The sequence below is a fragment of the Homo sapiens genome, chromosome 22 (assembly GCF_000001405.40).
Source record: "Homo sapiens chromosome 22, GRCh38.p14 Primary Assembly".
Classification (NCBI taxonomy): domain Eukaryota; kingdom Metazoa; phylum Chordata; class Mammalia; order Primates; family Hominidae; genus Homo; species Homo sapiens.
Genome location: NC_000022.11, coordinates 17,894,022 through 17,908,791, shown reverse-complemented (window position 1 = coordinate 17,908,791; position 14,770 = coordinate 17,894,022). Strand labels below are relative to the sequence as shown.

At 47.7% G+C, this 14,770-nt stretch overlaps 1 protein-coding gene across 3 annotated transcripts in view; it reads left to right on the top strand.

Moving 5' to 3' along the window:
• The window catches only part of MICAL3 (microtubule associated monooxygenase, calponin and LIM domain containing 3), a 236,913-nt gene that overhangs the window by 115,770 nt on the left and 106,373 nt on the right, over nt 1-14,770 (top strand). For all 3 annotated transcript variants that reach the window (NM_015241.3, NM_001122731.2, NM_001136004.3), the window contains 9 exons: nt 1,906-2,243; nt 3,953-4,160; nt 6,045-6,161; nt 6,813-6,914; nt 7,795-7,950; nt 9,244-9,344; nt 11,811-12,068; nt 12,431-12,546; nt 13,382-13,508. In NM_015241.3, coding sequence (NP_056056.2) covers nt 1,980-2,243; nt 3,953-4,160; nt 6,045-6,161; nt 6,813-6,914; nt 7,795-7,950; nt 9,244-9,344; nt 11,811-12,068; nt 12,431-12,546; nt 13,382-13,508 — 1,449 coding nt within the window. In that variant the 5' untranslated portion in view covers nt 1,906-1,979. Of the gene's footprint in view, nt 1-1,905; nt 2,244-3,952; nt 4,161-6,044; nt 6,162-6,812; nt 6,915-7,794; nt 7,951-9,243; nt 9,345-11,810; nt 12,069-12,430; nt 12,547-13,381; nt 13,509-14,770 lie in introns of those variants that run through there.

The window sequence follows — 14,770 nt, the reverse complement described above, 5'->3', positions numbered from 1 at the left end:
CCTTCCTCTGTCTGCACCCAACCCCAAGGGTACATCTTTAAAGCAAAGTCCAGTCCAGTTGTGTTGGTCACTCTCGTGGTGAATTGGTGATGTGCCTGTGCTGGGCCATTGTGATGAGAGCACCAGGAGCAAGTGCTGTGGGCATGTGGATTTCTCAGCAGTAGCCTTGGAGAACTTCAGAAGTGAAAGTCTTGGCCAGGCTCACACCTGTAATCCCAGCACTTTGGGAGGCCGAGGCGGGCAGATCACGAGGTCAGGAGATTGAGACCATCCTGGCTAACACGATGAAACCCCGTCTCTACTAAAAATACAAAAAATTAGCCGGGCGTGGTGGCGGGTGCCTGTAGTCCCAGCTACTTGGGAGGCTGAGGCAGGAGAACGGAGTGAACCCAGGAGGTGGAGCTTGCAGTGAGCAGAGATCGCACCACTGTATTCCAGCCTGGGCAACAAAGCGAGACTCCATCTCAAAAAAAAGAAAAAAAGAAAGTCTTAGGGGCGCTGTCTAACCTCCTTGTCTTACACACAAGGAAACTGAGGGTTCGTGCAACAGTGCTTACCCAGAGTTGTGCAGCGGGGTCGTGCAGCTGGGGTCTGGCTGTGTGGGCTCAGCCCTGTGGTCACACTCGTCTTGTCACCCTGACCCACTCTCTACTCACTAGTTTTGTCCTTTGTCCTTTTGCCTCCCACCTTCCAATACAGTTCCAGTGGTGAGGTTTCATCAGATGTGACGCAAAAACGATTCTGCAGACTCACAGGAGCCGGTGGGTGCAGGAGTACACGCGGTGCCATCTCCCACCTCCCAGCCTCTGTCCAGCAGACTCACTGGACGTAGGTGTGCGGACATTTCCATAGGTGGAAGGCATAGATATCGTCATTTACTGCTGTTCAATTCGATTCAGGGTGAAAATGGAATGACTGTGAAGTCTCCCAACCCTGTACCTTACGCAATAGCAGGACTTCTTCAGTTCTTTTAATCCCTGCCAACTTTGACACTCTCGAACTTTCTGCTCCTTAGACTTCTGTGATGCTGCTGGTTGGTTCTCTTCAGACCTCTCCCTACTGTTCCTCATCTTTTAAGAGGGCTCATCTTTCTCTCCCAGCCTCTTGAAGGTGGGGCCTCCTGGATCTCTTCCAGAGTCTGCGGCTCTTCTGCCCTGTGCACTCTCCTTTCGTGATCTTCCTGCTTTTGTATGCTTAGCTACTGCCCGTGTGCCAGCGACTCCCAAATCTGGATCTGCGTCCCCAGCCACTCCCTGAACTTCACATTTGTACCGACTTCCCGGTAAGCACCTCCACTTGGAGCTCACGTGTGCAGGTGAGGAAGGGGCTCACTGCTCCACTGGCACCAAGGAGTGCTTCTGTTTTTAATCCATTGGCCTGATGTCTCCGTTTAATCCGGGGCCTAAGCTGGAAACCTGGGAGTTATCCTTGCCTCTTTGATCTGTACGAGTCACTCAGGCCTGTCTTTGTCACTTTCCCATGTCCTACACCTCTTCCCTGCCTGGCTAACATTTATGCTGAGAGACTCAGCTGTCACCTCTCAGAGGCTCGCCTTCAGTGGGGACCCCCCCCCTTCACCACCAATAGTGACTTAGATCCTCTTTCTCTGTTTCCGAGATGGCCTTGTGTCTCCCTCTCTAGTGGCACTTGGTACAGTCCATTGAGACATTCTGTGTCTGTGTCTGCCTCGTCTCCTAGACTGTCAGATCCTTGAGAGCAAGAACCATCCTGCTCACCTTTCCAGCCCCAGTGTTTCGTAGTGCCTGGAGTATTGCAGGTGTGCAGTCCACACTTATGGATGGATGACTGCGACACTTTAGAACTCTGCTTTGAAGAGGAATATGTCTCCTGGAGAATGTTTGTAGACAGAGAAATGCTAACCACGTTTTTCTTTCTTTTTGTCAGATTAACGTGACAGTGTCAGGTGGACCCACAGCCATCCCACCTCCCCCTCTGGGGAGTGCTGAGAGTGAGGCAGCATGGAGGAGAGGAAGCATGAGACCATGAACCCAGCTCATGTCCTCTTTGACCGGTTTGTCCAGGCCACCACCTGCAAGGGAACCCTCAAGGCTTTCCAGGAGCTCTGTGACCACCTGGAACTAAAGCCAAAGGACTACCGCTCCTTCTATCACAAGCTCAAGTCCAAGCTTAACTACTGGAAAGCCAAAGCCCTCTGGGCAAAATTGGACAAACGGGGCAGTCACAAAGACTACAAAAAGGGAAAAGCGTGCACTAACACCAAGGTAAGCTTTGCTCCTGTTGGGCCCTGGGGTCACTGACGAGATGCCTTCTCCCTCAACAACGTCTTGCATCTCTGGCCATTCACCATATATGATCTACAAGGTCTGGGTGCCAAGAAGTTCTATGGCAAGTTCTGTGCCAGAGCCATCGACCATATCCAGGTGCCAAAGAGGAGGATTGAGTTAGAGGTAGGCTGAGTGAGAACCAGGCAAAGTCTAGCCACAACCTAGCATAAGAAATCAGGCTTCAACCCTGTTGAAATTTTGTGGATGTCTAACCTCTTTTTGTTTGACTTGCATGACCCAGACCCTGTTTTAAGCATGTTTCATGTATTTACATATTGAGCGTTCAAAGTTTCAAGTATTTAAGAACAACCAAAGTCAAGTGGCATGGGAACCTTTTATTTTGCTGAAGCTCTCTTTTGAACCTCACGTGGTTCGGAGGATGCAGGTCACTTAGCAGGGACATAGCCAAGCCCTGCTGGTATCCTGTCTGAACACGGCTTTGGGGTTCTTGGCATGTCCTCTTTCCAAAGTTCCATACTCAGTAGCTGGTAAGGTATACTGTTTGCGAACTTGGCATTTGCCACAAGCTTCCAACCTCTTCCCATCCATGTTCCAAAAGTCTGTTTTGATTCATAAGCAAGGACTTTGTGAACCAAAGTATTTCTGTTGCTTTCTTCACCATGTGGAGAAATGGGGTTTCCACGAAGCAGGTAGGCCCAAGCAAAGACCTGAGTTATGCACTTGCCTTTGTCGGGGTAGGTGCGAGGAAGCGGATATGGAGAGGTACATTTCCTGCTTCCCTCCTTAGAAGAACACCTAGTGTGAGAAGTTTGGAACAAGCTAGCAGGGACACAAATTTGCAGATGACTTCATGGCTACGTTATGTTCTTTCACGAGCTTTAATTTGTGCAATAGGGGATACCTAGAGCCCCACCCCCAGTGGATTTGCATTTGGGTAGATATTCATCAGCAAAATTCAAGAACTGTAAAGGCATGACTTTCATGAGTGAGTACTGGACTCCACTAAGAACAAAACAAAAACAAAGCCAAAAGCATTGCACGTTTTCCTTCCGCACACACAGAGCAAACTACTTAAGATATGTGTCCAGTCTCCTGCTCAGTACTTCTCTGGAGTGTGGATTTTCGAGATCATGTTCCTGGACGTTCAGTCTAGAAATGGGGATTTTGGAACTCTTATTAGCACACAAAACTTTGGCTCTTGAAAATTGCTTCCCGGGAATCATGTGTGTGGTAGACTCATTCCAGGAGGCTTGAGATTGCCTGGAGTGTGTATGTAGTACTCTGTATCTCTTTGGACAGAAATCTGCCTGACCTAGAAACCTTCGAAATGGTCCTCTCCTGTTGATGTAAGATTGTATTTGATTGTCATATCGTTTGTTGAGATGATGGCCACTTAAATATGCTGCAGATCAAGGGCCTTCCAGGCTGTCCAAGGTGAACAGGTGCCGAGCTTGTGTCTAGCACTGATGGTTCTGTCTTCTCCATTCATGGTGGTGATCACTAGCTCTTCTCTTAAGCCATGGCAGGTGCTCTGCTGTGACCCACGTAGGTGTGAAGGTTTCTTGGCAGTGGGGAGAATAGCCCTATTTCGGGGCTTTAGGGAGTGATGATCTTACAATCATGAGACTTCTTGAGAATTGTTTGTTGGAAGTGCCGCCTGCCCTGAAAGCAGCTGTGTTTTTCAGTGTCTCATCATTGGGGCTGGCCCCTGTGGTCTCCGTACAGCCATCGACTTATCCTTACTGGGGGCCAAGGTGGTTGTTATTGAGAAACGAGATGCCTTCTCCCGCAACAACGTCTTGCATCTCTGGCCATTCACCATACATGATCTACGAGGTCTGGGTGCCAAGAAGTTCTATGGCAAGTTCTGTGCTGGAGCCATCGACCATATCAGTAAGTAAAACTAGCTTTCCTGTAAGATTCCACCCTACCCCTTGCACGCTTGTTCAGTAGAAAGAGACAGGCAGATTAGCTGAGGAATTCATATGCCACCCAATTTCTTCTAATCTCATTACTGTCTTTCTTATAGTAAGTGCACTCATCTTGAAGTAAAAACACCTGCTATGTGGTGGTTCTATAATTTAGGACTCTTAAATGTGAGTGTATCGATAACCTGTGAAATGTGGGGTTTGGCTTGAGGATTTCTGTTAGGTCGTGGACTCTTCCTGAGCTCTTGCAGTTTGTGGGATGGGCACTGGGGCAGGCACTGGGGAAACGATGACCAGTTTGGGCCCAGACCCTCTGGTGGTCCTTCTTGCAGTGGCAGAAGTACACAAGCATGCAGCTGTCTGTGCTGTGAGCTGATACATTCTCTACTAATGTAAGAACAAAGTGCTGTGGGGACACAGTCCTGGGGGGAGCCACACTTGCAGGAGGCGCAGAGCCCTGGCCTGGCCGTTAATGGCAAGGGGATAATGGCATTCCTCTGGTCAGGTGGTTCTTGTGCGGTCTGCAAGCTCTTGCTGTTCTTTTGTCACCTCTAAGCTCAGCCCGGGCCTTTGCTTTTCTGAGATCCTACAGGGTATGAATACAAGTTAATGCAATCAGCGGTGTTTGACTGTAAGTGGCCAGCAAAGCAATTCAGAACAGACAGTGTGCGTTATGAAACTGAAAGCTTTTTATTGATTATCATTAATGCTTTCAGGAAAGCTTTATCAAGGAGCCTTTGTTCTGAGCTTCTCCAGATGTGTCCTGTAAACACAGTCAGTCATGGAACCTTTTGCTGTTTGCAGCAGCTGTGCCAATTTATCAGACGCTGGCTGGCAGTGACCACATTCCACTGGCAGAGGAAGCCCTCTGCCCATCTGCTGGCTATAGTTTGTAAAGCATCTTGGGACCCACAGTTCTCTGCGAAAATACTGTGCTAGCGCAGAGCTTAACAAGTATTTGGGAATGGGACTCAGAAGGGTGGTGGCTGTGGTAAACTGGGGAGAACAACCAAGATGACGTGAGGAGGATTTGCATTGCTCCTGGCACATTAGTCACAGGCTCCAGTTAAGTTTGGTCTTAAGAGAGAACCAAGGGTCATTAACGCAGTGGATTTGTCTGCCTTAATTGTGGCAAGATTCATCTTAGGGTTGAGAGGGTCTTCTACCAGGGCCTAGATCTTTATCTCTGCACCTTAAGTCGCTGCCATGCCTGGTGCCTGCAGGTGCTCATGGACGTCGAATAAATCAATCAGTCTCACTATGAAAATAAGCAAGATTGTCAGTCATTCTGGCCTCAGTTTCCACAGCTATAGACCAGGAATGGGAGGGGGAATGGTAGGAGGATCTAGTTGGATTGCGATTTCCCTTCCTTGCCTTATAAGAATGTGTGATGATCAACCAGGGAATGGGCTGAAAGACGCCTGTGGGCGGGGAGGTCATGCAGCAGCTCTGCATCTGACCGTGGGCTGCACCCTGTGGGTGCACATCTGCCTCCTAGCAGGATTGGAGATGCTGCCAATATGGCAGCCCCAAATTGGGAAGATGGAAAGGAACCTCCTGTAGGCCACAGTCCCATGTTGTCTCCGAGCTTTTGATTGTTTAAAACACTGAACCCGAGACGTGGGAGTGTCCTGTGTGTTGCTCTAGAACAGCTCTTCCACTGGGTTATATTTGCCTTTAAGAAAGGAAGAAGTTACAGAGCGTGGCTTTGGAAGGTCTCCTGCTACAGCAGGCTTTGGGAATCTGAATGAAGGGGGCGTAGGTGGCGGGGTGGGAGCCTGAGCTGCGACACGGATGGGTACCCCCTTCTCCATGTGTTCCCATCAACGTCATCTCTGTATTCTCCCAGGTATCCGTCAGCTCCAACTAATACTTTTGAAAGTAGCCTTGATCCTAGGCATTGAAATCCACGTCAATGTGGAATTCCAAGGACTTATACAGCCTCCTGAGGACCAAGAGAATGAACGTAAGTTATACTGGAGGAGTGAAGAAGGCGTGAGAGGGTGTTGATGGGTGAGGAAGATGAGATTGAGGGAGCAAACCAAAGGCTCCTGAGGGCTGCTTCCAGAGCTAGCCAAAGCCTGTGCCTTTGGGGACTTGGCCTGGATGCAGCCTTAGATGTCGCAGGCGCACATGTGGTGGGAAGGGCCCCGTGAGCCCTCTGCAAGGCTTCTTTCCTTCTGTGGTTTGTCCCCACTGCTTTTTCTTTGTTAGATGAGAGTCTCACTCTGTCGCCTAGCCTGGAGTGCGGTAGCTCAATCTTGGCTCACTGTGACCTCTGAGCAATTCTCCTGCGTAGGTCTCCAGAGTAGCTGGGATTACAGGCATGTGTCACCATGCCTGGCTAATTTTTGTATTTTAGTAGAGACAGGGTTTCACCATGCTGGCCAGGGTGGTCTCGAACTCCTGGCCTCAAGTAGTCTGCCAGCCTCTGCCTCGCATAGTGCTGGGATTAGAGGCACGAGCCACCGTGCACAGCCTCTGTCTCCACTGCTTCTACACATAGTGTTTTTGGCCCAGGGTTTTGTGCAGTTCACATGACTGGGTATCTAGAGATGGTCCTGGCTGTGAATGTGGTCTGGGTGGTGACCCCCATTTATTTGGTTTTGGTTCACAGGGATAGGCTGGCGGGCACTGGTGCACCCCAAGACTCATCCTGTGTCAGAGTATGAATTTGAAGTGATCATCGGTGGGGATGGTCGGAGGAACACCTTGGAAGGTATTGGTCTGTGCTCCTCTGCCTGGCTCATAGCAGAGGGAAAGCTGATGCTATCCTACCTCTGGGGCGAGACTGTGCGTGACCAGCGTCCACCCTTTTGAGAGCCTGAATGTGTGCTTCCTGCCCTGATGGAATGGCAGGCCCCACCATCCTCTAGCCAGCTGGCAGTCAGGCTGCTGCTTTTATTTTATTTAATTATTTTATTTTTGAGACAGGGTCTCGTTCTTTTGCCCAGGCTGGAGTGCAGTATCATGATCACGCTCACTGCAGCCTCGATCTCCCTGGTCTCAAGCGAGTCTCCCATCTCAGCCTCCTGAGTAGCTGGGACTACAGGCGCGTGCCACCATACCCAGCTAATTTTTGTATTTTTTGTAGAGATTGGGTTTTCGCCATGTTGCATGGGCTGGTCTCAAACTCCTTGGCTCAAGCACTCTGCTCGCCTTTCCCAAGGTGTTGGGATTACAGGCGTGAACCACCTCACCTGGCCCAGGCTGCTGCTTACAGGGCACTCTTGCTGAGGCACTAGGAGACCAACCATACCTTGAGTGGCTGGCACCTGTAGGACTTAATCTACATATTAATAAGCAGGTGCTCCCCCCACGCATCCCTTTTTTAAAGAGGAATCCCTAGTACTGAGTAATATTCTGGCCAGTCAGATTTCAAATTGTTTGTTAATGGAGACTTTGACTTCTTCCCTGAATTTTCATATTCTTGGGTAGGTAAATGCCTTATTTTCATCTGCAGAAGAGCTGCCCTAACTTTCCCATCAGTTCTCATCCCTGACTTTCCCTGTTGTCTTTATCAGCACCCCCACTTTATCTGAAGTGATCTTCCTTCTCTAGCCAATGATTATCACCTCTGAAAATTTATTTCCCTCCAGGGTTTCGTCGGAAAGAATTCCGTGGCAAACTGGCCATCGCCATCACGGCAAATTTTATCAACCGAAATACAACAGCAGAAGCTAAAGTGGAAGAGATCAGTGGTGTGGCTTTTATATTCAACCAAAAATTTTTCCAGGAACTGAGGGAAGCCACAGGTTGGTGTTGATGTCTCCGGAGCCCTAGGATAGAAACTTAAATAGTCCCTGGTGGCTTTTTCTTGGGGGATTGGTGGGGTGAGTGGCCGTCGGTGTCCCTCCTGCACTGTCTGCCCCTCCTGCTCTTTTCACTCCTGTTCCTTCTTCCTAGCGCATTGCTTCCTGCAGAACTTGTCTCCTCCTCTTGTATTCTTAACCTCCTCACAGTGACTGGGCGGCTCTGGGTTTTGTTTTTTGTTTGAGACAAGGTCTCGCTCTGTTGCCCAGGCTGGAGTTCAGTGGCGTGATCTCGGCTCACTGCAGCCTCGAACTCCTGGGCTCAAGTGATCCTCCCATCTCAGCCTCCTGAGTAGCTGGGACTACAGGCAAGCTCCACCATGCCTGGCTAATTTTTCGTATTACTTGTAGAGACGGAGTTTCGCCATGTTGCCCGGGCTGCTCCCAAACTCCTGGGCTCCACCTGCCTCAGCCTCCCAAAGTGCTAGGATTACAAGCGTGAGCCACCACACCCAGCCTGAGGTTTTGTTTGTTCGTTTATTTGTTGTAAAGCATTCGTTCTGCCTCCACTAGTTCTTCCCAATGCCTGCCCTGTGCTGTGATGCTGAGGCATGCTGCTTGGTGTAGCTGCTGGCCGGTGGCTCCCTGGTTTGCTTGGGAAGCTGACTTTAGGCCTTTTAAGTATGTAGTCTTCTTCCTGAGTTCCAGCTCAGGCTTGAAGGCAAACCGTGTGTCAGATAGCGATGAGATTGTTGTATGATAGGTTTTGAATAGATCAACTTAGATATTTTGCTAAATGTGCCTTCATTCTCTTGTTTTCTAGAACTTGATTTCTTTTCATTACATCTATTTTTTAGATTAATTAAAAAGTCAGTAGTTCACTCTCTGCTTCCAGGCGTCAAGTTGTCTATCCTGTTCTTAAGAATCTAGGAGATTCCTCCAGCTTCCTTGATGACTGTCCCAAGAGGCTTAACCCGATAACTAATCCAAGCCCTCTTTAGAGGTTAGCCTCTTTTTTTTTTGCTTGTTTCGTTTTTATTCCCGTAAAAACAGTTCTGTTTACTGTCAGTCATAGTTTTTAGGATTGTTTGGGGTGTTGAGTGAATACAGAGAAACAAAACTCCCTGTATTTCCATGAACTGATGATACAGGACGTGAGAATCTGGGCTTAGACACCTTTCCCTGCCTGGAGCCTCAGGCCCTTGTCTCTGTAGGCCTGTGTGTAACCTTTCAGCCTGCCCTGATGCACCTTCATCTCAGCAAACTTACATGCACACGTTTGTCTTCTGGCCCCAGGTATTGACTTGGAGAACATCGTTTACTACAAAGATGACACACACTATTTCGTTATGACAGCCAAAAAGCAGAGTTTGCTGGACAAAGGAGTGATACTACATGTGAGCCACGGATTTCCTTCAAAACTCTTTCTTATTGAAGTGGTTAATATCACCAAGAGAAAGAATTGTCTGATGGGTTTTTCCTGCAAGGGAATGAAAATGAGCACTGAATGCATCTTCTGGTAACCCCTGATGTTTTCCAGTTTAGCGTGAACAACTCTTAACTATGGCTAATTTCAAATGTAAATAAAAACGGGGGGAGAATAGTGTAATGAACCCTCACGTACCTACCGTCCAGCTTTCACAGTTCTCAACACGTGGCCAGTGTTCTGTCAGTAATATTTCTGTGCACTCCTTCTTCACCACTGGATTCTTGCAAAGCAGGTTTCAGACAGCATTTCATGCATAAATACTCAGTTTAATTTTAGGTGATTTGGTTTGTGGTTATTGTGATTTCCATATCTGACTGATGATTGGTTGGTTGAAGAGTTATCTTTTGGGAGGGGGAGCAACAGAGGGAAAGGAGTTTGACCAAGAAGCAATAATTGGTGTTTATGGGAGCCTGATGAGGATTCTGGTGTCACTGCCGATACAGTTTTCAGAGGTCCAGGCAGCACTGACAGGATCAGGCTACACTTAGGCCTCTTTATGACCACAGAACAGGTCTGAGCTCCATCATAGCCAGGTCCAGCTCAGCCTGTTTCTAGGTGACTGCATGGTGTGCCCTGAGATGATGGCCTGAAATATGAAGTCAGAAGACCACCGCGTGGATGGTCCCTGAAGGAGAGTTTTTTAAGTCTTTCCTGGTCTCACTGGTCTCAACGTGAGAATCACTGTCCCCATGCGATGAGAAAAACAGAAGCAGAGACACCAGTTGTGCTGATTCAGGCCTGTGCAGTTCCCACAAGAGACTCACAGCTGAATTTCAGGGAGTCCTTTGTCTTTGCAGGGTGATGTGAATGCAGTCACTTTAGTCTGAGCTACAGTACTACCTTATATGACAGCAGAGCGGGGAGTGAGCTGACGAGCATGTGCCGGTGGCAGAGAGCCCCCTCTTTCTACCCAGGAACCTTGCGTGTGTTTCTCAGCACAGCCACCCTGTGTGCTTTCAGGGAGAACCAGGACAAAGCTGTTTATACAGCCCACTTTCCCAAAAGCATAAGCAAGACGTATCTGGTTAGATGCTTTCTAAAATTGCCTTGCTAATTATCTGGGACTACATCAGGGTTACATTGCTGTCAGTAAGAAATAGCCAGTGAAGCAGTTCGTACGCCTTGGGACAAGGTGAAGATTTAAATCTGCCACGCAGGCAGAACTGTGGTTGTCAGTCACAATTTGATAGGAGCAGTCTAGAATGCCAAGAGACCTGGTTTACTTTGCCTTCATGTTTTTTTTTTTTTAAGAGGGCAGGGGCCATGCCTTTGGTGTATGCTGTTAAATAGTAAACCCATGTGGCTACTTAGTATTGAGCAAACAGTCTTTCTAGGACCAACCTGAGTGTTTGTGTTTTGGCTTTAACATCTTGTAGTGGTGGCTGAAAGGACCATCATGGCCACTTAGAAACCGTAGGCCCCACTTTCAGAGAATAAAGACTTGGCTCAGTGTGCCAGGAACCTCCAAAACAGAAAAGGAGTTTTTCAGTCCTTTGTTCTTCTTTGTGGGTTTCTGTGGAGGCTTTCAAGTCTTACTTACTATTTTGAAAACCTCTGCTCCATTTTCAACATATTCCTTCCCAGCCTCCTGGACTACCATTGCTCCCACCTCCATGTCTTTTTGGCACTCAAGCTTTTTTGAGTTCTTCCTTTGGGTGTCATGAGTTATGCAAGGCTGAGTGTTTCACGTGGTCCCATTTGACAAAAGCCATTTACTACCCAGAAGATAATGAAATGCCCTTTCAGTTCACAAAGTACTGTCAGGTATGTGATACTCAGAACAACCCTGAGGCAGATTGGATAAGATCAAAGAAGTAGTCATTGTTCCAAGCAAATGGAAAAGCCATGACTGTGTGTTTAGGCAGCAAGGTCTATGTTCTCTCGGGAATAATCCACCCCCCAAACCCCTCTTTTTTTTTTTTTTTTTTTTTTTGAGTTGGAGTCTCACTCTGTCACCTAGGCTGGAGTGCAGTGGTGCTGTCTCAGCTCACTGCAACCTCCGCTTCCTGGGCTCAAGCAGTTCTCCTGCCTCAGCTTCCCAAGTAGCTGGGGTTACCGGCACACACCACCATGCCTGGCTGATTTTTGTATTTTTAGTACAGATGGGGTTTCATCATGTTGACCAGGCTGGTCTCGAAGTCACGTCCTCAAGTGATCTGCCCGCCTCAGCCTCCCAAAGTGCTGGGATTACAGGTGTGGGCCATTGTGCCTGGCTGCCTTTCCCCCCGCCCATTTTAATGGTATAAAAGTTTTGGTTTTGGAACGTGGAGTCACTTTAGGGGGAAGAAGAAGCTGTGGCCCTGGGTTGTGTAACATGGTTCTGGCTGAGTGCCAGAGCTTCTCCATCCCTACCCTCCTCTTTCTCTGGAGACAGGACTACGCCGACACAGAGCTCCTGCTTTCCCGAGAAAACGTGGACCAGGAGGCTCTGCTCAGCTATGCCAGGGAGGCGGCAGACTTCTCTACCCAGCAGCAGCTGCCGTCTCTGGATTTTGCCATCAATCACTATGGGCAGCCCGATGTGGCCATGTTTGACTTCACTTGTATGTATGCCTCCGAGAACGCCGCCTTGGTGCGGGAGCAGAACGGACACCAGTTACTAGTGGCTCTGGTCGGGGACAGCCTCCTAGAGGTGAGTGCTAAGCATGGCAGCACTCTGTGGTAGGGGCAGGAATAATTAGGAGTGAATCTGGGCATCCTGGGTCTTGGAATGAGCGTCTGCAGTGTTGTACAGCACAGGTAAACTCCCTGCAGGAGTCACACCAGGAAGTAGAGGAGGGCTACAGGCCACTGGGAGCCCAGGCCTATTAAGTATGAGTGGAAATTCTGCCCCTTTTTGACTTACTCCTTGCCAATCTGGGAAGGAGAGCAATTTGTTATTGAAACAGTTGCCAAACACTACTGTCGACAGCAAACTCTTTGTTCCTTAGTTTATTTTTCCCATTTTGAAAGGTGTGTTATATTTTAATTATTTGTTTTATGTCTTATCTACAGCCTTTCTGGCCAATGGGAACAGGAATAGCCCGGGGCTTTCTAGCTGCTATGGACTCTGCCTGGATGGTCCGAAGTTGGTCTCTAGGAACGAGCCCTTTGGAAGTGCTGGCAGAGAGGTAATGGGAAGTAACCCGGGGTTCCTTTCATGAGAAAACTGGGAAGAAGGAGTGGTTTACTCTTCAGGCAGAGTGCAAGTTCTTCCTTCTTCTTTCTCTGCCTTCTTAATTAAAGATGTTTTCATGTGGAAAAGAGGAAAGGCAAGATAGGATTTCATAAAATCATAGAAACCTAAAGATGAGTCTCCTAGACTAAGTCTTCTCTTACTCCTTTCCAAGATAAATTTCTTACTGACAGAGAAGAAATTAAAAGTAGCTTTGAATTCATAGGAAAACACCAAACTGCTTATAAGTGTTTCTCAAACCCCTAAATGGGATATTTTGAAGCAGATTTTTGCAAATGCAATAAAAATCCTGTGATTTGCTTTCTGATAAAGAACTAATGCCTTAACCAGAAGAATTAGAGAGACAAGATTTCCCAGATGAAATTGGGAGTTGATATCATCTTATTTTGTCTCTTATTTAAGGTATTCTGACTAAATATAGTGATAATTCTTTTTTGTGTTGATTTTCTTTAAAATTGAAGTAAATATTGGGATGCTTGAAAAAATAAAAGAGTAAATGTGTGACCTTTTGAGTTGGAGGCAGCATCTGTGGGCGCTCACGGTTTTGTGCCTGCTCTCTCTCCTCGGCTCTTACCCGGTCGGTTCCTGTGGGATCACTGCAGGTGGGTGTGGGGAGCAGGGGCTGACGTAGGACTCAAGAAGACTGGTCAAGGATGAGGATTTGTCAGGCATGTCAGGTGACTTGCTGCGCTGTCAGAACAATCATGAAACGAGAGGGAGATGTTCATGGTGCTGGTCCCGATTCTGAGTATATTGTTGTGTTATTGCAGGGAAAGTATTTACAGGTTGCTGCCTCAGACCACCCCTGAGAATGTGAGTAAGAACTTCAGCCAGTACAGTATCGACCCTGTCACTCGGTATCCCAATATCAACGTCAACTTCCTCCGGCCAAGCCAGGTAAGACCTTCTTGTCAGTATTTACATCTGGGCCCATCTGCAGGACCAATGAGAATTCTGATCTGTTGAGATGCGTGCACCTATTAATACCACACATACAAGGATACTTTTTTAGTCATCCAGGTAGATGTCTCTCTGAATTGGTAGAAGTAGATAGCATTTTCCATCAACAGATTGAGAGCTAAGGCATAGAGTTGTTAAATGACTTAGAGAAAATCAAACATGATAGGAATCCAGGCCTTTATGCCACGTCTTCTAATTCAAATTCTTACTTTACGGAAGAGCACTTGCCCCTTAGTGAGGAGAGGTAACTTCCACCTGTGTTGTTGCTGCCGGTCACGTGTGACTTACATTGTCTGAACCTCAATTTCTTTACCTGAAAAATGGGAATAATAATCCCTGACTACTCACAGGATTATTGTGAGGACAAAAGAGATTGTTCACTTGAAAGAATTTGTTCTAGTGTAATTTTTTTTTTTTTTTTTTTGAGATGGAATCTCGCTCTGTCACCCAGGCTGGAGTGTGGTGGCACGATCTTGGCTCACTGCAGCCTCCACTTCCTGGGTTCAAGTGATTCTCCTGCCTCAGCCTCCCGAGTAGCTGGGATTACAGGCACCCACCTCCACGCCTGGCTAATTTTTGTATTTTTAGTAGAGATGGGGTTTCACTGTGTTGGTCAGGCTGGTCTTGAACTCCTGACCTTGTGATCTGCCCACCGTGCCTGGCCCCTAGTGTAATTTTCTGTTCACCTTCTACTTGAAGTTTATACCTTTAGGCCTTCTGTTAAGAGGCAGCATTATTAGTAGTCCAACCGAGACTCTTAGAGGGACCTCCATGACCGAGTAACTAATTTTTTCTCTCTTTTCTTTTTTCTTTTTTTTTTTTTTTGAGACAGAGTCTTGCTTTGTTGCCCAGGCTCTCTGGGGTGTGGTGGCACTATCTCAGCTCACTGAAGCTTTGACTTCCTGGTCTCAAGGGATCCTCCCACTTCAGCCTCCCAAGTAGCTGGGACTACAGCTAATTTTTAAATTTTTTGTAGAGACGAGGCCTCCCTGTGTTTCCCAGACTGGTCTCAAACTCCTAGCCTTAAGCCATCTGCTGGCCTCGGCCTCCCCAACTATAGGGATTATAGGTGTGAGCCACCGCACCCGGCCCTGTGTAGCTGATTTCTAGCACAAAGTCCCACAGTTAAAATGTGTTTGTTTTTCTCAAACCCCACCTTATTTCATAAAAGATTTAAAGGTCATCATCCTAACTTCTGT